At 43.2% G+C, this 22,844-nt stretch overlaps 1 long non-coding RNA gene and 1 further gene across 2 annotated transcripts in view, besides 2 other annotated features; one reads left to right on the plus strand and one right to left on the minus strand.

Moving 5' to 3' along the window:
* TRA (T cell receptor alpha locus) overlaps positions 1-22,844 on the plus strand; it is a 930,229-nt gene that overhangs the window by 763,295 nt on the left and 144,090 nt on the right.
* TRD-AS1 (TRD antisense RNA 1) overlaps positions 1-22,844 on the minus strand; it is a 103,555-nt gene that overhangs the window by 5,794 nt on the left and 74,917 nt on the right. The window contains exons 2-3 of one of the 2 annotated variants that reach the window (NR_148362.1): positions 18,496-18,565; positions 15,846-15,976 (exon numbers count right to left, since the gene is read on the minus strand). The exons of the other annotated variant lie outside the window; for it this stretch is intronic. This is a non-coding gene — a long non-coding RNA (TRD antisense RNA 1). The remainder of the gene's footprint in view (positions 1-15,845; positions 15,977-18,495; positions 18,566-22,844) is intronic. 2 annotated transcript variants of the gene reach the window in all.
* Positions 2,474-2,703: an enhancer, noted in NCBI's record as "active region_8114". NCBI's record gives its function as "activates an Ori minimal core promoter by ATAC-STARR-seq in GM12878 lymphoblastoid cells {active_cell/tissue: GM12878}" and the evidence as "EXISTENCE:reporter gene assay evidence [ECO:0000049][PMID:35858748]".
* Positions 2,812-3,312: an enhancer, noted in NCBI's record as "H3K4me1 hESC enhancer chr14:22856413-22856913 (GRCh37/hg19 assembly coordinates)". NCBI's record gives its function as "activates a minimal SCP1, AML or CMV promoter by ChIP-STARR-seq in naive H9 embryonic stem cells {active_cell/tissue: H9 hESC(naive)}" and the evidence as "EXISTENCE:reporter gene assay evidence [ECO:0000049][PMID:30033119]".

The following is a 22,844-nucleotide window of genomic DNA, read 5'->3' on the forward strand; positions in this document are numbered from 1 at the left end:
GGAAGCCTCTGTCTCCAGAATATAAATGTCCAACTACAGGACTGGCAAAGAAACCAAGCCCTGGGCAATGCCTACTATGGACCCTTATTTCTTGTGGTTTGCTAAGAAAAAAGTAGGCCCAAGGGAGAGGAGGGGGAAAACCAGGAGGGTCTAAAGTTCTTCTGACTGAAAGAAAAGACCACATCAGAGAGAAAGAAAGGAATCAGTTAAGTAATAAAAGGTTGTGAGTTGATTTATCATTCAACTAAACAAATTATCTTCCTACACAAACATTCTGAGGATTAAGTGAACAATATAATACTTTTCTGAGCTCTTTTTGATCAAATGCTTTGCTGTTAAAGGTTATATTCCTAGGGAGTTGATACTGAAGCTTCTTGTTCCTTGTCAGTAAACACAAGGAGAGGCCAACCCTCTGTAAATTTAAATTACATAAAACCTTTCCCCAAACTGTCTGGTCTCCTAACAGCCCCTTTTCACTGAACTCTGTGGTTATGGAATGTAAGTATCTTTATCACAGCAGCACAGACTTTTGAAAATTTGACATAATAGAATTTCTTCCTCACAAGGCATATCAAACACCATTGCAAACTAGTGGGATTTTTAATCAAGACTAAAGCAGAGGTCTTTTATTTGTTTGTTTGTGCTTAGATTATTTCCACATGACCAATAAAATGTTCTCTCTGACCATCATCCCTGCTGACTAGAAGTACCAGGAACCTTGTCTCACCCTCACCTCCAGAGGTAAGGGTATGAACGGACTGTGAAAAAACACAGCAGAACACTGGGGTCAGCAGAGAGAAAGCGAAAGAACCCCATGGGCAGATAATCTAAAAGCAGCAGAGAATCAACGGGAAACTAACACAAGTGCCTGAAGATGGAGACAGCAATTTTTAGTGATTTTGGCTTGTCTCTGTTCTATGAAGCTCCAACTCAGTGGCAACCTAGTGTGAAAATTTATGAAATACTTTTGGATTTATCTCTGTAATTCCAGGTCTGGCACAATATAGGTTTCTTGAATGAATAAATGGATGAACATGTCAATCAATGAATGAACAGTAATATTAAGGAGGGGAAGAAAACCATTACAGGTCAATGAATGGGTTCCTAGAAGATTCCCCTGTCTCCCATTGTCTTCCGACTCAGGGAGACAACAGCTGGAGCAGAGTGCCTAGACTTCGGGGGCTTAGGAGGCCACACATCTTAGAGAGCATTTCACCATCAACTGCAATTCCTTTGGCAGTTTGAATTATAATATTTACTTCCATGATACAGTCTTCAGCTGTTGTAACTGCTAGTGACCCTTCTCTGAATCCCTACTTCGTATGTTAGACATTTTTTATATGGAGAATTAATACAGCCTTGACTGCTATGCTTCTTTTTTACTTCCATCTCTAATAATAAGATCCTCAAGGGTCGAGACTGTCATACTCTTGTTTTTTGTGTTTACTTCACTGCATATCCTAGAGCTGAGTACATATGGAAGAATGAATCAATTAATGAAATTTATGAACACATGCTGAGGTTTAAAGAGAATATCAACTGCTTGGTTTGATGACAAAAAGCAACATCACTCTGTGTCTAGCACGTAGCCCAGAGGTGCGGGCCCCATCCTCTCGTGTGAGGAGCCCACGGTGATGCATAGGCACCTGCACCCCGTGCCTAAACCCTGCAGCTGGCACGGGCCCTGTCTGCTCTTCATTCACCGTTCTCACGAGTTGCAATAAGTTCAGCCCTCCATGTCACACTGTGTTTTCCATCCTGGGGAGTGTTTCACAGCTATCCCAAGCCCCACGCTGACGAATCACGGCCGAAAACACACTCTGATGCCAGCACAGACCACGGAGCAAATGTCAGACAAGATCAGCCTCGGAAAAGTGAGTCCTGAATTGCGATGGAAGTGGGCTTCCTCTCACAAGGACTTTGTGTGGAGATGCGCAGGTGGGCTGTTGGAAAAGACCCATGGAATTCCCTTCCTCTGGGTGCCTTTTCTGTCCCAACCTCTGGGGATTCCTCAAGAATCGGGGGGATTTCAGCACGGAGTGTGGGACTCTGTCTGCCCCAAGATCAGAGGATTCACCTTGCCTTTTGGAAAGAACTGCCCAGTGTATCAGGTTTTTATGAGTCAGTTTTAGAGTTGGGAATGCGGACAGATTTGTAAGAAAGTCCACAGAGCATATCTCTCCACAGCGGAGAAGGCTCTCGAGCCCCAGAAGGCAATATCACGGTGGCCTAGGTGGATGTCACGGGGTGAGAATCAACCCTCAGTTGCCACGAGGAATCTGAGGAGATCCAGGATTACGGTTTTTATGTAACTGTCTTACCTCTGTTTCACAAGGGCCAAAACTTCAGCCCCGTTATAAAATCAACAGATGCAGAAAAGAGACAAGTGGCCACTAGATGGCAGCAGATGGTAAGAAACGTGAGTTGCAGGCGGGCTGGGCAAGAGTTAGGCTGGAAGCCCCTCCATTTTGCTTTACATCTTTAATGAGATATGTGAAGAAAATTAGTCCCTTACATGCCAGACGCAGATGCCACAGCATATGGAGAGATGCCGCACAGCAATATTTCTCTGGTTATTAAACAGGAGGCACCTAACCAGTCATTCACTGCATCATCATGCAGAGTTATCCTTTAGGTCTCCGGATACTGTTGTTGACAAGGTAATAACAGAAGAAAGCAGTTGAGAAGACTGATGTCGGGACGTGGGCCTCTGGGCTCGTGGGACTTCACCATGCCAGGGGATGGGGCACATTGCCAGAAAATGAGGAGCAGCCCACTGGGGCCACTTTTCCGTGGCCAGGGGGACACTGTGGCTTCTGCTGCCGGGCTTAGTCCCAGCAGGCGTCTGCTGCTCTCTGGTCCCCCTGGCAGCCCTCGGGGGCTCATTTATTCAGAAGCCCCATTACCGCGAGACAATTCTGCGGTCTGACCTTTCACCACAAATCCCAAATGGGAAAGGGAGCTCTGGGAATTTTAAAGAGCAAACCACACTTGCTTCTCCAGCAAAATTGAAAAGATACAGCATAACTAGAGTGCATTCAGGTGCACATAGATAGGGAAACACGGTTTCCATGCTGCCCCAAACAAAAGGAGGGAGTCCAGTCCTGCCGACTGCAGGAAACAGCCTCACTCGGAAGACACACTTTTTCTTGGGAGAGTGTTCCCAGGTCCAGAGCAGGCAGGGATTGCGCCCACTTCCCCACTTCTCACACTTTTCTCCAACCCCACCACTCAGTCTGACTATTCCTTTATTTAATTCTTCCACACTCCCAAACCCAGGGGCTTCATAAGGCCTTCAGGGTAGCTGAGGAACAGAGAACAGATTATTCAGTCCAGGCAACTAGTCCTTGTCTCAGGCCCAACAAGAAACTGTTATCTTATTAACCTGAAAGCCCAGAACTCTCAGGACTTCTCAGAGTCACTCATGAAGCCCCTTAACAGTCCTGAAATGAAGATAAATAATACAGCCATTTTTCGTACAGAGAAACTGAGGTATAAAACTGAGATCAGCTGCAGCTCTCCTGGTCCCCATTGCTTTCCCACAGATTCAACCCTCTGAAGCATCCTCCAGTGAAAATGTAGTAGCAAGATTCACCCTACCAGGATTTCTCTCCCCCTCTTAGAAAATTACTTCCTGCGCTAGAAATCCTCACTTGTCTGTGTGACTTTAGACAACTTGCTTAACCTCTCTGTGCCTCACTTATCATCTGTAATTTGAGGGACTAGAACCAGATGATGACTAAGGCCCATTCCAGCTCACAGTCTTGTGGCTAATTTCCCAGTCCTCTGCCAGCCCTCAAAGAGAGTTGTATGGGACACTTTTTCCAGCAACAGCCAAACTCAACAGGAGCAAGCAGAATTTCCTTCTCCAATTGAGAAGCAATGGGGTGGTGGTTGGAGTCTTGTTGATGTCCTTTGTCCTCGGAGTGAGGCAAACAGTGAGGCTTCAGATGTTATTGGCACTAACAGCAGGGCCTGGAGGTGGCCACACTCTTGTGGAAGGACCATGCAGAGCTGTCCCTGTGGGCAGTGTAGGTGCATAGCCAAGACTGAGGGATGTTTTAATAACTACTTCTCAATAAGAAGTCCTATTTTATTCTGCACAGGGGTGTGGACCCAATCCAGGTCTCCCAGGAGGAATCTACTCTCACCCATAATAGGGGATTGGTTCAGCTCAGCTGCGCTCACAAAGGGCTATACAGCATGCAGCAGTACAGGCAGCTCCCCGCAGCTCCATGTGAAAATGACTCACAGCAGTTATGAACATCAAACCTCCTTTGATGTGTTCCCAGACATGAAGAACAGCCACGGGAGGAGGAGACGGACTCTGGTTGCTAGCTCTGTGGGGTGGCGCACAGAGGGCCTGGACACATCTGGTACCATCCTGAAGCTCCAGGAGAAATTCAGGCTGGGTAATTACCTAGGACTTCCTAGGATAACAGAGCTTCTTTCATCTATCTCTCTCCCTCCCTCTCACTGTCTTTCTGTCTCCAGCTACAAGGGAATTAGATTCTCCAAGGAATTACAACCTGTTTCTGTACCTTCACCTTTCCCGAGGAGATAACAATTCACATCCCTGAATAAAAGTTGTTTTATTGAGCACAAAATGAATGCACCCCCCTCGCTCAGCATCTGTGCCAATTGCCTTAAAGCTATAGACCTGGCCTCCATCAGCCAAGTGAAAGGATTTTCCTCTGTCATGGCCATTTCCAGACTCTCAGCCTTTTGAGTAGCCACATGGTACCTTGTCCTCCTAATAGGCTCTCAATGATGATTGAATACAAAGGCTCTAATTCTCTGTTGCATTGGCAGCTCCCAAGACTGGGTCGATCACAATCGTCCACAGCAGAAGACAGCGGTGCTGACGGTCAAATGAGCATCAGGGCACACAGCAGAAGGGGAGGGTCAGCCACTGTCCCTTCATGCCCATTTCAACAGAAAGCTTATTTATATGCAAGAGGTGTTCCCCTTCCAGACAGGGTTCAAGAGCACATTGGTCCCTGGAAACTTGAGCAAAGTCTTCACGGTTATAGAAGGGAGTGGCAAAGGACATGTAGGAGAGAATCAGTTCCACCCCATGCCTGCACATTTCATTTTCTGAAATGAAAAGCTCTCATACACTCACAGAGATCTGCACATACCCACACATGGAAATAGCATAAACAGCTACTCTTTACTGAGCAGTGACCACGTGTCAGGCACAATGCCTCGGGCTTCACATGCATCATCTCTAATCCTCATCGACGTTCTGGGTGTGGGAGTGAAGGCATCCCTGTTTTATGGATGAGGAACCTAAGGTCAGAAAGGCTAAGAAACTTTCTTAAGATTGAACAACTATGGTAGAAGAGCTACAATTCTAGATGGTTGGATTCCAAAGCATCATCTCTTAACCACTGTACTATGGGGCAATATGCTTATAAGCAAGTGCTTACTCTGTTGGAGGCACTGGGGTTATGAGATAGTGCAGGAAAGACATAGTTATTCACTTCGCAAAGCTTCATTTTTACCGCACACTCATGCACACAGTGCTACACACACACATGCAGAGTTACTATAACTGTGGTGTCTTCCAAGAGCCCTGTCACTAAGGTATCCTCAGTGTCGTACTCTCAGTCCTCCTGCACTTGAACCACAGTTTGAATTGTGCATAGGGTAAAGACTGAGGTCTTCTACAGAAAGGCCTAAGCTGCTTGAACTTTACAGACAATTATGTGAGCAATTCAACCTTTTATACATTATGCTGTAGTTACCCAGCTCCTGAACTAGTCATCAGGTATTTTATTTGTTTTTTAACGTGATCAGGAAGTTTCTCTGACTCATTTCTCTATCTTTGCAGAGGAACAAGGTAGGAGAGCAACAGGGGCAGGAACAGAGAGGATTTCAAGCTTGATGAAGGTTCAGTAAGTCAAGTCATAGGTCAACTAGAAGAAATAAAGCAGGGGAAGATTTGGGGTGGGGCTGAAGCTCCATTGTTTCCATGACACCATAAGATAAGTGGTGATCTAGGTGATCTAGGTGTGCAAAGGTGAAACAAAACGAAAGACGCAAACATTGTACTAGTTTCAGGTTTTGCCAAGAGCAGATTGGCTGCCAAGGCTACTTCAGCCTTGACTCATATAGATCCATGATCTGGGAGGCAAGACAGCGTCCTGCTGTGCTGGACATCTCAGTGACATTGACCCAACTGGGGGAACTCCCTGAGGTTAAGAAAACCTCCCTCCAAGGCTGAGTTAATGAACTACCTAGATGTAAGACAGGAGACTGAAAACATTTAAGTCCCAGGAAAAATGCAGACTTACCTTCTTATGACCTAGATCTCTTTGCAAATCTAATGAAAAAGGTTTGTTATGCACAAATGTTTCCCTCCAATTTTATTTCAGGAGATTTGTGCTCTTTCCTGGACTGCCCCTGAACCTGGAGGTAATAATTCTAGATCAAAGTCTCCCTAGAACCTTGAAAAGGGTGGACTGAGAAGACTGGATATACAGCTCTAGGCAACCAGTCCTCCACTGCCACCACCATGCTTTCTAATCTCCAGGGGAGCCTGGTCATCTTGCTGGACAATTGCTGTTTCTCCTGACAAAATCCAAGTTAGGAAACTGACAGGGTCTTTGTTTCTATTTCTCTCTATGCCTATCTCTCAAGGTGCCCTGTCATTAATGAATCTTAATCCTCACTTTTATTTCTCAACTCTGGCTCCCAATTTCTGTTTTCCCACCCCTCATCTGGGGGAGCCACCCGGAACCCCCTCATTAATCCACAGACAGCCATCTCAGGACTTCATGCTAAGAATTCATTGTTTCCCACTTTCCTGCATTTGAACACTGGAGGGCAATGCTGGACCAGCCAAAGCACTCTAGGTGCTCCGCTCCATCTTTGTCTCAACCTTGCCTGTCATTTCAGGAAGCAGCCTCTGGTTGGAAGCCAAAACCAAGGACCAGTGGAGCGCCCATAGGCTAGCAGAACAGCTAGGTCTATTACAGCATCTCCCCCACACGGGATCATAGGAATAAAAGGTAGCTCACGGAAAAGCACATCTGGTTTCATGGGTGACACAATCCCCTGGGAAAGAAACTGAGCGGGGTGCTTGCCTAACTGTGTCATTAACCAGAAACAATCTGTGTCTCTGACTAGGGGATGCAGATTCCTACCTGTCTTCACTCACTCAGATGTAAGCCCCTGGAGGGTAATGTCTTAGTAAGGTCTGCATTCCTGTAGCAAGCACAGTGTTTGGCAACAAATACTTGCTGGATGAATAAATGGATGAATGCGTGTATGGATACATATGTATAAAATGGAACTGGCCATTTTCAGATTTGTTGTTGTTTTCTAGCTCTTATGACACCCAAAGTTTAAATCATTAATCAGTTGCTGAGCATTCTTAGTCTTAAAGACAACTAAGGATGGTCAGGTGGTTAATTAAATCAGTGGTTGTCATTGTACAAATGTTATTTCAAACACCACTTCAAGAGTTTCAGGTCTCTTATTTTTAGGAAGTCCTTCATTGTGTCATCCATGTGTCCTCAGACCTCACCAGCCTGTGGATTACAAAATACAGACACTATTTCATTAATATTCAATTTACAAGAACCTGCGGGCTCATCATGTGGAATATTGAGTATCCGTGATGTCCCCAAGTGATTTGTGGGCATTTCATGTGCCACAGTGGGTCCCCACGGGGCTTGACAGTTCCATGGAGCCAGAGCTCTTCTTCAGGCCATCTTTCATCATCTTGTGAGACTTTTCTCCAGGCTGCTCTCCCCTCTACCTTCACCACAATGGATCCCATGTCAGGTGGACATGGTCTACTCTCTTAATCATTCAAAGCACTGCTAAATGTTTGAGGAAGAAAGAAGAGCACATTTTGAGACCCAAAACCCAACTTGAGACTCTTTCTACCTCCAGGCAGGCTTACGCATAGCAAAGACCAGCTCAAGGCGCCCGGTAGAAGTCTGCAGGCATCTCCATATCTCCAAGTGCAGAGAGCAGAGGAGATTTTTTCTTCTCAGTCCAAGACTAGTTCTTTTCCTGCCCTGGGATGATTGACAGTGAGAAAAAACATTTCCTCCAGGGAAGCGCTCTACCTGCCCCTCCACCTTCTCAGACGGGGCCCGACCTTCATGACCCCGACAAAGCAAACCTGGTGCTCAACTGTCTTATTAGATCTTCTAACACTATGTGTGTGACATCAACAGCCCTAACTAAATTCACACTTGGGAAAAATATGCCCCTCATTCTAACTAAACAGACACCATTTAATTTTCCTAACAGAACACTTACTATTTTGATGCACGACACCTGTTTTCAGTTTTATGATAACTTCATAATCTCCAATACAATGAGTGAGTGTTTATTTGAAATGAGAATAACCTCATTCTCAACTAGTTTTCTCAACAGAAGAAGAGTGCTCAAAGTTCATCTAGGGTCTTTACCTACAGAAATTCAATGCTGTCAGCAATCTTCAAGGAGCAGCTCTGCCAAAGGAAAAAGAAAGAAAGAAAAAAGGAAATCCTGCTTTTATAAGTTATCCCTATTATTAAAATTTCTAACAAATCTCTCCCTACAGTTCAAACCTAGGTCCCCAGAGTATATGGGCCTCATCCTTCTCATAAAAATGCTGTTAAAAAAAAAAGGTGTCCTTTGACACCTTTCCTGAGTGCAAACAGAGATTGAAAAAAATCATTCTAAAATAACATTTTTCTGTCACTGCCCAATGGGAGGTGAGTTGATCATAGGTGAAGCATGTCCTATTAGTATGTCTTGCTCAGGATGCCTTTGGTGTGAGTAAGGGATGGGTTTCTAGGGCAAAATCTCTGTTCTATACCCGCAAAAAACAATGTACAGAAATTTCCCTAAGAGAGGAGATTGGCAGTCAATACATAAGACTCCATAGGCAGGAAGTGTCCAGGGTCAGCTCCCTGCATTCAAATACAGACCTGCATCAGGGCTGTGATTTCCAGGTCCAAGGCTCGGTGAGTGGATAATACCTAAGGCCTGATGCCAGGCCTGATGTCCAGGTTTAACACTGATGGCAGGCCACAGACCCTCCTGTCTTGGGATTCCAAAAAGCCCAGAATCTTTCCCAGTTCCTACTGACACTAACTTTTGCCCGGGCAAGAAGTGTCTGAGATTGCTTCCCTTGAGACCATAGTCCTTTCTTATAATTCCAAAACTAAGCAGCCCTGTTTATGCTGCTGTGGCAGAGCATGGAATCTTGGTTAGTCCTTCCAAACTGCACCCATTGGGTTATCCCTGGGGAAATGATCACATTACGCTACTTTGTTGAACACTGAGGACTCCAATAAGGACTGTGAATCCCAACTATTTCTGGTGTGGGAGCCAGGGCTTTCAGGTCATTCACCAGAAATTATCCAACCAGAAAACTTTCTTTCAAGTTCTGTTCAAAGTCCAGCAGTTTGCCTACAGGATTCAGATGAGACTTCTAAGAATCATCTGTGTCTTGGATAGAGCACCCTGGCAGCCTCTTGAAAATCAATTCCCTAAGAAACCTATCTTTTAGAAATGGACCTTCACAAAGCCAGTGAGAGAATGGGAGGAGTATGTGGTTTCCAATGGGAGACATATATAGACTTTTATGTCATGAATTTCTGAAGTCAGACCGTGACAAATGTTGGTCAGAGTACAATGCACAGTTGCCCAAAGGAGGGGAAATTAGCTTGGTTCAGGAGGACTAGGAAATCCTCCCCATGGAAGTTTTAGTTAAAGTGACTTAAAGGATGAATGATTTTGACAAATGAGGGATTGGAGAAGGACATGGCGGGCAGAGGGAGTACAGCTTGAGCAATGTCCAGGAGGGATATAGAACTGTGCTTGGGGAACAGTGATCACTTGGTGAGAGTTGAGTCTGCCTGAGTTGGGGCAGTGGAGTGGTGGGAGTGGTGGGCTGTGGCTTGACTGAGAAAGCTTTTGTGAATCACATTAAGGGACTAGATTCTGTTATATGGGAAATGGGCAGAAATCACAGGCATATAAGAGGAAATGTGCTTCAAAGAGTGCTTGGAAAGATTACTATGGGTGGGAAGACTGGTTCCAAGACCGGAAACAATGAGATCAGATGTAAAGTTAATATGAAACTGAGGTAGACATTGAGAAGGATCAGAAGGACTTGGAAAGAGAAAACAGATTTAAGAAACACCTCAAAAATAGATAAATGATATGTGGGAATGAAAGAAAAGGGAGAGATTGTCTCTTCCCGACATCCTGGCTATGTACTGGAAGATTCCCTAGTTCCCAAGCCCCAAGGTCTTACCATTAGAAATCAGTCCTTACTCATTTGTCCATTAAGGCTTAAGGTGTCAATCCTTCCAGGAATGCTTTTATGTTTCTATGGTCCAAAGGCTTAATCTCCAGTGGCAGAATGCCAGGTACCAATAGAGGAGATTTGGGGGCAGTGGTCTTCTCGGGACCCTCAAAAATCATTACATAGTTGCCCACTCCTCTTATTTATAAAGCTGTTCGTGTGAATAAGCACCCAACTACTTTGTCTGTGCCCATTTGATCACTGATTGAATAAGAAATAAAAGCCAAACATCTATATTCTTTTTCTTCTCTGAATAATCTTTTCCCCTGTCTTCAGATTTGGAACAAGGAAACCCAGATCCAGGGAAAATATTCTAAATCCTTGACCTCCCTATCCAGTTGGCACCCCAGCCCAGTAAAATGGCTTCAAGTACAACATTCCCCCAACAGCAAAGACAGCCTTCCTGGGAGTCTTGGGTAGGCCTGTCCAGGGCCACCGTGCAGCACACATACATCTTCCCAACCAGCTCCACTGTCACAAACACCATCCACACTGCCATGGGCAAGCCTCTGGCCACCAATGCCACCCCACCTGCTCTGGTGTGGGCACACCTACAGCCATGCCACCAACACTCCTCGTGCACATGTCTATGGTGTATCTGTGCAGTCACAGTTGTCACCAGCTCAATTCTGTGTAACCCTAAGTCCAGGCATCTTGGGGTGAATGTCTCCTTATTCCTTTGTCCATTGTCCTGCTCTCCCTTTAAAATTGTTCATGAGTGTATTTTGCAGAAAGATATGTGATCTTGAAAGACAGAGAAGGAAAGAGATGAAGTAGGAGAGTGGCAGGGGTGGGGGTACAGATTTTGAGAAAGGCAAGAAAAAAGAAAGGATCCTTGACCTCCATCAGTCCCAACTCCCAAAATAAGACTGGCCCTAAAGATAGCTTATTATTTATCCCAAATTAAAATTTTATGGCTCTGCAATCATTGTGTACACAGTGAAAAGAAAACCATCACACAAAAGATGCAGTTATCCTCACAGTGGGAACAATAGCAGCCAAGCTGATTCTGCTCCAAGAATAGAATAACAGTGCTAAGTCAGGAACTCCAAAACTTTGTCAACAAATAGAATAATTTCTTGGTGGGAAAATGGCTATGAAAGAAGGTGGGCAGGAAAGCAACCTTCTGACTCTTGAACTTGGCATGGGTTGCCAGGGAAAATTCCAGCCTTGGTCCCTCCATAGTGAGCTCACAACCAGCTCTGCTGACTGGGGAAAAGTCCTGCCTGAATATGCACAGACTCCAGAAGGCCCTCACCTTACCCTTGCCCAGAATCATATACAGAATCTAACAGGCTGTACCTGCTTCTCTTGCCTAAAGTTATGCATCATTACCAGATTTCCAGCTCCATGATGGCAGAAATTTCAGCTGATTTTTTTTTCCATTGTATCCTCAGCATTCAGCAGAAGGTTTGTATATACTTGGCACTCAATAAACACTTGCTGAATGAACGGTTGATTGATTAATCAATTAATTGATTAATTTAAAATGAGCAAAATACTTTCTCCCTGTCTGGCTTCTGAAGAGTGAGTCTGAGTACTAGAAACTGTCAGATAGGCAATAGAAGCCACAGTCCACTTGGAAAAATGACTGTTTCTACCTTTGCTCATCCTTCTGGGCATCTTAGATTCCTGAAATTCAGGAACAAGGACCCAAGAGATCATGACCCACCAAGTGTCTTTCAACAAAAGACTATTTTCCTGGCTGTTTCCTTTCAGAGAATAAGCCTCCTGGGGCTGATAAGCGAATGGCACCATATGCTGAAAACACAGGCCCTGAGTGGCAGAGGGCACCAGAGCCTCCTCTGAGGAGCCTGTTGGATTGCAGCCTTTCAACAAATCTGAGTGTGTCTTTTGATAGCATCAGCATCAACCACCCCCAAGGACCTCTTTCTTTTATTGCTTCAGCAATGAAGCAGCCACATGGCTGTTGTAGATAAGGTGGCCCAAGTGCATTGTGCATGCAATGTAGGCTGCTGGTGCACAGCACTGAGAATCGCAGACACGCCGTGTACCAGCTTCTCTACACTGCGTTGCCCTTCCTCTGTAAGTGGCCCCCAGGTAAACGGGTGTGATTCCCCACCACTTCTCATTTCTCATTTTCTATCATTTTTTTCTTTGCCAGATGGCTCCTGCAAGACTGAAATCACACAGCCTTCCAACATGGCCACAATGATTGGGACAGATGTCAAGTTCCAACGCTAATATAACATTCCTGATGGGAATTATGATTCTTTGTGCTGGCATCTGCAAAGAGCTAACCAAAGGTTTACCTATATCTGCTATCCTTTCAAGGCACCCTGGAATCAGAGCACTGCTAGTTGTCTGTGGACAGAAAATTGTTCTCCAGAACCCGAATCCTTAAGCATGTGCAGCCAAGAGACTGAGCCATTTACTGCTGTGCACTGTGGGCACCATGATGCATGCTGGATATCACACTGAACAAACACTGTAAGCCTCAAGCAGCCTCAACACAGAAAATTCAAAAGATCCACCAACAACACACAGGGTGTTTAGTGTCATCTTAAACTTGCATCTTGAATGCATCATCGATTCATTCATTCCAAACTAAAAGTCCCTTAAGGCTTTCAAATTGATGTACTGAGTATTGTGAAGGATACCAACATATATAACAAACACTTCTCAAATAATAAAATGTATTCAGCAGGTACAATCTCCTCACTTTTATGTTGCTAAACCATGAGAAATTAAAATTAAATCCTGTATAATTACTTGAATCTTCCAGCTGACAAATAAAAGTAGTCTTTGATACACAGAAGGACAAATGAATTGCACACACATACAAAATTAAGGCCAGCAATTAACATCTTAATGACATACCCTTAACTTACCAACATTTCTAAAAGCCTGAAAAAATATTAAATATCTATGTATACATGATATGTACAGTAAATTTATAGATAGATGATAGATGAATGGATACATAGACAGGCAAGCTGTAAGAAGCATCATAAAAGGACTGAGCTCAAGTTCAGACTTTAAAGCCAGACTTCTTGAGTTTTGAATTCCAGACCTTCCATTTACTGACTCAATAGCTATGTGACCTTGGGCAATTTACTTTTTGCCTTGCTTTCCTCATCTATAAAATAATGATTACAATAACACCTACCTCAGGGGATTGTTGCAGGAATTAAGTGACCTATAGCACATGTTACTGTATTCAGAGCAAAGCTTGGAACATGAAAAGCACTCAGTGAGTATTAACTACTTTTGCTTTTGAGTGTGATAATATCCTGAGGATGATTACTAAATTTCCCCTGTGTTGGGCTGGGTTGAGCCTTTAGGAAGTTGTTGATAAGAAATGTCAGTCTCTTGAACAATTAAACATTATTTTCTACATTAGTATCCTATCTAGTAAGAAGTAAATATCAATGGAAATTCAGAGAAATACAATTCAAAAGGCCTTCAGGACCTTTTTCCTGGATGGCAATAAATTATTGAGGGCTTCCTATGTAGAAAAAAAAAAAACAGAGGAAAGTAATTTCTGCTTGACCATCATAAAATAAGCAAATATAGGCTTTGCGAGATATTAAAATACAACAGTAACCCCACTCATTAAATGAATAGAATAGTGGAATAATGTATAAATTTAAAGCCAAAAGTAAAATTAAAGTTGTTTATGCACATATTTTTGAAGTAAAATATTTGTTCTATCAACATAAAAGGCATAGTAGATGACCTGAAAAAGTTTCCACCTCCAAGAAGATAACAAATCAAGTCAAAGTCACAGTATGCCTGACGTTGTGTCATCCTCAAAAACTGGGAAGTCAGGATCAGTCCAAGACTCCAGAAGTGAGGAGGCTCTAAAAGACACCTCCACTTCAGCCTCTGCTTATTCAAGGCCCCAGCCATGGAAACTCGATGGTGTGAACTGCTGAGCTGAGAACTGGGGGTAAGTGAGGACTGTCTTCTCTGTTTTCTTTTCTGAAGACGCAGGGTCTCCTGCTAATTCGGATTCTGTGTTTTATTCATTAGTGGGAACACAAATCCCCTGCTATCTTGCTAGCTTTCTCATTTGCAGCCAACATATGGGTTTATCAGCACGGTTAGCCCCCCAAGAACAGCCCTTCAGGGACATGGGATAACACAAAATGGGAAATTCTTCTTGGAATAAAGAGTTGGGGAAGGATCCTTTGTAAAATTTGGTTTTGGGGTCAGATTTCAAAGTCTTAACCCTCATGGGACAGGCAGAGACTCGGGGATATTTGGTGAGTGACTGAGTCCCTATTCCTCCTGAGCTTGCCCTTCCCCAGGGCACCTCAGAGCCAGAACTGCTGAATGTTAACATGGGGCACTCAGGTTTCCTACAGGACACTTACAACTCTGGTAACCCTGCTGTATACTCTGCCAGTAAGGAACTACTTAGTAATTCCTCCGAGAGCCAACATTCAAAGACTAATGCCACGTCACATGCAATAGGGAAATGCAGCTCTATCTGTCATTCACATCTCTGATTCTGTCATTCATTACTCCATGCTAAAAGTCCCAGTGGGAGAAATTGTCTTTCTTCTTTTTCAAAACCAGCTTCTACTGAAGGTAAAGAAAAGTTTAGGGGTAGAAGAACAAAGTCATTACAGAACCATGCATTGATTGGTGAGCACTGCCCAGGGGCAGGTTTTGTGGTAATGATCCATAAGAAGCAAAGCAAAAATTATGGTGGAGTCGATGGAATATTTGAGAGTCTCTGCCCCAACCATCTCATAATCGAACTGGGAGCCCTCCAATCTCCCCATGCAAGCCTTGGAGGACAGTCATAGAAGAAAAAGTGAGCAAGAAGGTTTAACTAGCTAACAAGTGTTCATCAAGTATCCATAAATCTCAGGGTACAGAAGTGGCATTTTTGTATTCAATCATGTATATATTAGTGTTTGCTATGTGCTGTATCCCATGCCAAGATCCAAGCCTTCTTCCACTGTGTAACTCATACCGTAGCAGGGCTTACAGTCTAATAGAGGACCCAAATCAGATGCTTGTGGAAACAAGAGAAATACTTGGTTGTAATAATTATGGGGGTGTTCCAGGAGGAAAGTACAGATTGAAATTAGAATATTTCAATTTCAGGATGAGTTAGGTGATGGGAGCCAAGAAGACATGCTAAAGGAATTAAATCCTGAGCTGAGACTAGATATGAAAAAGTTTGTTTATTTACATCCCAAGTTCCCAAGTCAGTAACAGAAGCAGAATTACAACTCGAGAAAGGCCCCACTTGCTTCTATGCTGTTTTGCTCAGCAGCTGCTTCCTTTGGTGGCACACAGCTGGGAAAGTGAGTCACAGATGGACTATTGGCAGCCAAAATTTTTTTAGAGACAAATGACACTGTGATTTTTCCTGACACCCATTGAAATTCCTCACTAATTTCCAAAAATATCTTATGTTGTTTTAAAACATCCAGTGAGGCCCAGACATTTCAGTAGAACAAATCAGAGAAACAAAGTTAATTCCAGCCATCTGAGCATTCTGAGCCCAAATCAGCTAGACTGAGAAGAAGAATCGTTTACTTACCGAAGGCAGTCCCAGGACACCCAGCAGCTAAGGTCCTGACTCACAGCATTCTAACCAAGAGAAAACACAAACACAGCATCTTCTCTTTTCATTCACTTCTGTTCCTGTTCTTCAGTTGCTTGTCCAACCAGCTGGAGACACAGCAGAGAAACCATAAAGCAAAGAAAGCAATTAGGAACAGGAGAAACAGCTGATAAGCACTCTGCCTAGGTAGAGGTGAATCCTGGGCACCCATCAGGGAAAGACTTTGCCATTACTAAGGCTTTAGGTGAGGAGTTTGAGGGTTACGAATAAGAGATAAAGCAAGGAAAGGGCTTTTCTTTGCCAAATTTATCTTTTTTTCACCCATAAAACTCAAAGAGGATAGGGAAAGAATGAATGTATTCTCAAATCAAAGGAAAAATAGTTCTAAAACTTCCAATGAGTGAGAAAATCAGAAGTTCTGGCACTGACTCCCATTTATATTGAAGTAATACTATGGGTAAATATTTTATATCAAAGACCCCAGAGTGGCAGAGACCATCAGAGAATGGCATTAAACTGGGCACGCATAGTAGCCGATATGGGGTTAATTTGATTTGACCTTGGCATCTTTTCTCTTCTTAAAGTCCTCCCATCCTTTCTTTATCCTGTATAGACAAAGAAGACTGGGGTCTAACTTTTATGTGTCTTCCATCCTAAGCTGCCAGAGACAGTCCTTTGCCAAAGGGCACAGTAGATTGATACTGCCCATATGTCTCTGACACGGCTCCACTCAGCTCATTCATTTATCTACCCAAGTCCTACGGCAGCCTAACATGGCTCAACAGACTGCTGTTTCCCTCAGAGGAATGTTCTGTGCCAGCCTTGAAATAACAAGTTCTGTGTCTCTCCTGGTAACTATGGCTCAGGCAGGGGGCTATGACCAGGTCACTAACCCCACCATGGCAAAGAAGAAAAGACAAGGCAAAGAAGCCAATATCTGTGGAGGGCTTACAAATGAGTACCTGGCACAGGAATAAGCCCTTCACAAGTGTTCTCTCATTTCAACCTCACAGCATCCCTGCAAGGTAACTATAATTACCCCATTTGCAAATAAGGAAATCAAGACTCAGAGTTGTAATTTGTCCCGCTACTGGTAAGTCACAAAGCAAGATTCAAAACCATGGGCTAGTAGACCTGCAAAGTCAGTGCTCCATTTACATGTAGGTAATATGGGCACTGATACCACCTAGGCAGTGAGCCACAAGCTATTACAAGCAGGTTCTATCCAAGTGGGAGGCACCTTGCTCTAGGTACCTAGCAGGTTCTATCCAAGTGGGAGGTACCACCTGCTGCAGAGTGCCCCACTTCTCCCTGCACCTAAAACAGTGGATAAAAGACCTGGATTTCCCATGTTTTATCCTGAGTTGCTGGCAAATTCTTTCCTAATCTCAGTCTTCACTAGATAAGCAACCAACCCTCTTGGTTCCTTGAGAGTTGGGGCGTCTAGAAATCCTGCCTGGACTAGCAAATATCTGTGAGTTCCTAATATTGACCAGCTCTGCACTGGACATTAGGAATGCAAATATAAATAAGGTACTGTTTATGTTCTAAGTACTCTTAAAGTTCAATGCAGGAAACAAACAGATTATCAGAGAATAGAGGTGATAAGTGTCATGGCCCAACATGGCAGGGGGCCAGGGGAACGCCTCCCTCAGGTGGAGTTAAAGAAGGGAGAAGAAGGATGGTATGGCTTTTCCAGGAAGAAGGAGAAGCCAGTGTAAAAACTGAGCATCTGGAAGTCTATGACACATCTTTGAACCTGCAAGTATTTTATGTGGCTAAAGTGTTGAACACAACACTTTCCTACATCTAAAATGTGCACCACACCTGAGATGAGGCTGCCCGATCATTCCAACAGTAACATCTGATAAAAGAGGCCAGGAGTTGAAGTGGGGGCAAGGGGCTTATCTTTGCAGTTGGCTTAGAGGGGCCTTCTTTATCAGTTGAAGAGGGCAGGAAAGGCTGTTAGGATTTTTGTGGAGAGATGTTGGGGGTGGGGGGTGGGGTGCTGCACCTGTCTCTCACAGGCTCCTGAAGAAAGGTTGAAAATAACAGCTTTTAATACTGAATAGGCCCTCTCATTGTGGAGGCAGGCTGAGATAAACAGAACTTTTACTATCATGAGTGCTGTAGCTCATTGCAGTCTTTATTGTGAAAGTGTTCATGTGCATAAGTCAGATAAAGCAAGGATGGTTTTCCATTACCATCCTAATCAAAATTTCCAAAGCTTTTAGAGATAGCTTTAATTCTTACTCTGTGAAGAAGGATGAATAGAGTCATTTTCTGAAATGTTTCCACAACTATTTCAGGTATTGAGTGTTTTATATCTTCCCTTAGCTGCCGAAGAGTCCTGGGGATCCGTAGGGGTGAGCAGGAAGGGGAAATGCACAGGCTTCCTTCATGCCAGTTGCTGAGAGAGAGCTTAGAGACAAATACCTGTGGTAATGTGGAATTTCTGAGTTGAGCATGGGTCAACTAAATTAAAATAAAAATTTTTATTCCCAAGTCTCAAGTTGAAATGGGTAAGCCAAGAAGGTCTGAGACCGCAGGGAGAAAACTCCTGGAGGAATCCACTAAGGAGACAAGTAGGCAGAGGCGCTTAAAGATACAAACATTAAACACTCACCCAGGGAATGCCTTCATCCTGTTGGCTCTCTTTGTTCTGCTCAAATATCTGTCTGGCATCCTCTCTCCACCTAAGGTTAAAATTCGGGCATTAGGACATAACGTAAAAATTACAACTAAAAGTCAACCCTCCTGATATCTTCTATTCAACATTTCTTCCAGTGCACTATTATCTTCATCACATATTTTTTATAGGGTACTTACTGTTCGTGGTATTGGAATGGGTCATGGGAATAGCAAAGTTCTAAGGCAAGTTCTATTCAAAGTTCTATTCTCACCAATGTGTTTTCCATTTATTTTTAAAAGACAGGGCATTAGAAAGTACAATTAAAGATTACAAAGAATACAAAAATATAACGGCACATATGATAATGAGGGTTAGTGATTTCATGTGCAGTGCTCTAGGAGTTTATGAAAGGACCAATTGCTATAAGAAAATTTCTTAGGTTCGAGACTGCAGTGAGCTATCGTCACATCACTGCACTCTAGCCTGGGTGAAAGAGTGAGACCCTGACTCAAAAAAAAGAAGAGAAATGTTTTTTAAAACCTTTTTTGCTTTTGTAAAAAAAAATTTATTTGTATATACTTAGTGCAAGCGCAAATTTCTTACTTGCATATGTTGCGTAGAGGTGAAGCTTGGGCTTTTAGTGTACCCATCACCCAAATAGTAACCATTGTACCCAATAGGTAATTTTTCAACCCTCACTCCCCTCCCACCTCCCGACCTATTGGAGTTTTCAGTGTCTATTATTCTACTCTGCATGTCCATGTGTACACATCGTTTAGCCCCCACTTATAAGTGAGAACACACAGTATTTAACTTTCTATTTCTAGGAAATTTTACTTAGGATAATGACCTTCAGTTCCATCCATGTTGCTGCAAAATATATTATTTCATTCTTTTTCATAACTGTTTAGTATATATACCACATTAAGAAAATTGTCTTAGAATAGCTGAAGCTTAAAAGAGGCAGGAGTTGGATAAGCAGGAAGGAAAAGGAAGGGTATTTCAGGGTGGGTATACTAGTTATCTATTGTCACATACAAATCACTTCAGAACTTAGAGGCTCAGAACAACATTTATTATCTCAGTTTCCGTGGGTCAAAAAATCCAAGTGTGGCTTAGCTGCATCCTCTGGCTCAAGGTCTCTCATCAGGCTGCCATCAAAGTGTTACCTAGGGCTGTAGTCAGCTAAAGGCTCAACCGGAATAAGATACACTTCGAGTTCACTCATGTGGATGTTGACAGGCTGATATGGTTTGGGTGTGTGTTCCATCCAGATCTCATGTTTAAATGTAATTCCCAGTGTTGGAGGTGGGACCTAGTTGAAGGCACTGGTTCATGGGAGAAGATCCCTTATGAATGGTTTAGCTCCATCCCCTTGGTGATGAATGAGTTCTCGCTCTATTAGTTCATGAGCGAGCTGATCATTTAAAATGAGCCTGGTACCTCCTCCTCTCTCTCTCTTGCTCCCTCTCTCACCATGTGACATGTGCCCAGGCTCTCCTGCCCTGACTACAGAGAAATGGACATTAGATGTGGTCAAGGCATCTCTAGAGCAATGGTTCTCAACTCTATCCACATATTTGAATCACCTGGGGATATCCTTTGAAAATACTAGTGTCTGGGATACATCTCCAGAGATTTTGATTGATTTGGTGTGGGCTTGAAGCTCTGGCTTACCAGATGACTCAACCTCCTTCCCCTCCTCTTGCTCTTCCCTCCCCCTGGGGTTGAAAGCAACTGGCTTAAGACCTTGCTATTCCAAGTGTAGTCTAGACAAACACAATCAGCATCACCTGGAAGGTTTTGAGAATGCAGAATCTCGTGCACCATCCCAGATCCACTGAATCAGAATCTGCATTTTAAACAAGACTCCCCAGGTAAATTATATGCATATTAATGTTTGAGAAGCACTGGTCTAGGCATTCGTCATTATTGAAAACGTTCATGGAGGTAAAAAAAAAAATAAATCACTCTTTCCCAAATGTCACCCAAGAATCCATACTTGTAAAAAATCTCCTGAAGGGATACTGATGTGCCGCCAGGGCTCACTGATAGGCAGTCAGTCATCCCCAGTTCAGTTTACAGATTATTTGTGTTACTACCAATATAATAAATATTCTTATTGGGGTGATAGTGAGTCCTTGTATGCTTCTTAGAGGAAGGTATTACATAAATTCTAGGTTTTATCATTTCTCATTCATCCACAAGCAAATAAGGAAGTGGATTAATATTTACTGAGTCAATATACTTTTTACCACACCACGATGGATTATCCATGGAAACCCAGAATCTTGTGCCACATACCTTCAATTCAAGATCAAGCCAAAAAAAAAGATCCACAAATTATTGGTGTCTGATTAAGTCTGATTGGGAAGAAGAGGAACAAGAGACACAAGAATGTGTGCGTCCAGTGGTCCAATCCTGCAGGATGAATGAGGACATGAAGTTCTGGCCCGTGATGGATTGGGGTAATGTAGAACCAGAGGTTGGCCTGGGGTTAGCATGAAAAATAGCCTAGAGACAAGGAGGAGGAAATCCTGGGAGAAAATACCTGGACTGCCCAACAATCTGAGGGTCTGCGCACAATGAAAAAAGAAACCAGACAAAAATTAAAGTAAAAAACCTGGAGAAATTTAAATAATTCCTGTGCTTACTAGCAGGTAATTAAGGAAGCATTTTATGTAACATCTGAAGCCTCAGATTTAGGGGGAGACAGGGCCACTGAAGGCCCTAGCATAGTAAGGGCATGGACCAAGTTTCTCTGCAGAAATCCCGAAGCCAAATGAGCGATATGAACACCCACTATTATTTTTGTATTATTCATTTTCTTTTTTTCTTTCTTTCTTTTTTTTTTTTGAAACGGAGTCTCATTCTGTCACCCAGGCTGGAGTGCAGTGGCGTGTTCTCAGCCTACCATACCCTCCTCCTTCCAGGTTCAAGCAATTCTTCTGACTCAGCCTCCCGAATAGCTGGAATTACAGGCACCCACTACCACGCCTGGCTAATTTTTGTATTTTTAGTAGAGACGGGGTTTCGCCATGTTGGCCAGTCTGGTCTCGAACTCCTGACCTCAGGCGAATCGCCTGCCTCAGCCTCCCAAAGTGCTGGGATAACAGGCGTGAGCCACCGTGACCAGCCTGTATTGTTAATTTTCTTCCCCCTCCACTGGTAAGGACAATTGAGAGTTGACTAAATTCTTATTATTGTTGCCTCCACTGTTCTGCTTTCTGTGATTCTTATCCATCATGAGAAGGGCTGACTTGGAAGAGTTCAGAGCAGTGAAGAGAAATCCCAGAGAGTGTCTGCCAACACTCAAAAAGACTTTGAATTTGACGTCAGAATAGGAATAGGCTTGCCACTCTCACCAGCCTCCCAAGAAGAGTCATTGGGCAGGCTGGATGGCTAGAAAAAGAAGATACCTGTCTGATGCCCAAAGGCAGCTAGAAGGCATCCTGGCTTCAGGAACAGTGCCATCACCTGGCTGCCCTCACAAAGAGGTCATCCAACATTGTGAAACCATGACTATGAGTGAAAGGCAAGAGAAAATAAGGGAATCTGAAACCATGTGAATATGCCACTTCCTCTGCATCACGGGACACCAGAGACGGGCAACGAAGAGAATGTTACTTCTATCATATAACACATTCTCGATTCGGAAGGTGCCACAGCCTTGAGAAAGTCCTCATTACACCATCTTGAAAGCTCTCAGGGATGATATAGGTAGGGTCCAAATAAGAAAATGGACTCAAGGAAATCCAAATTGTGACCTTCACTTTGAACAATTAAAATTTTAAACAGAAAATTAGAATCGTTGAATTTGAAATCCAGAAAGGATCTTAAAAACAAAGTAGGAATCCCCTCATTCAGTTTAAATGTTCACTAAATATTGAATGAGTAAGTGATCACCCAGCCTCAATTCAAATATTTTCAATGACAATTCTTGTTTCAAAAAATCTGTCCTATACCAAATCAAAATTTGCCTCCCATAACTTCATATCTTTATATTTGTTATGCCTTCCAGAGCAACGCAGACTAAGTTCACCTTCGCATATTCAAATATTTAAAGATAGCTATCCTGTATAACCATTCCTCATGACTGTCTAATAAATTTTAAACTCCTTGAGAGAAGCATCCAAGTTCAATATATTTTCCTGTACCAATGCAATTCTTAATAGAGTGACTCATCTGTAGCGGGTAGTCAGCAAATGTGAGTTGAATACATGAATTAATATCTATGTGTCCACCTGACCAACAGTTCTACTCGGGTGTCTCAAAGGCACTTCAGCTCAACTCCAAGACTTAAATCAAGATCTTCCTTGCAAATATGGCCCTAGCCTAAGATT

This window comes from Homo sapiens, chromosome 14 (genome assembly GCF_000001405.40).
Source record: "Homo sapiens chromosome 14, GRCh38.p14 Primary Assembly".
In the NCBI taxonomy this organism is placed as follows: domain Eukaryota; kingdom Metazoa; phylum Chordata; class Mammalia; order Primates; family Hominidae; genus Homo; species Homo sapiens.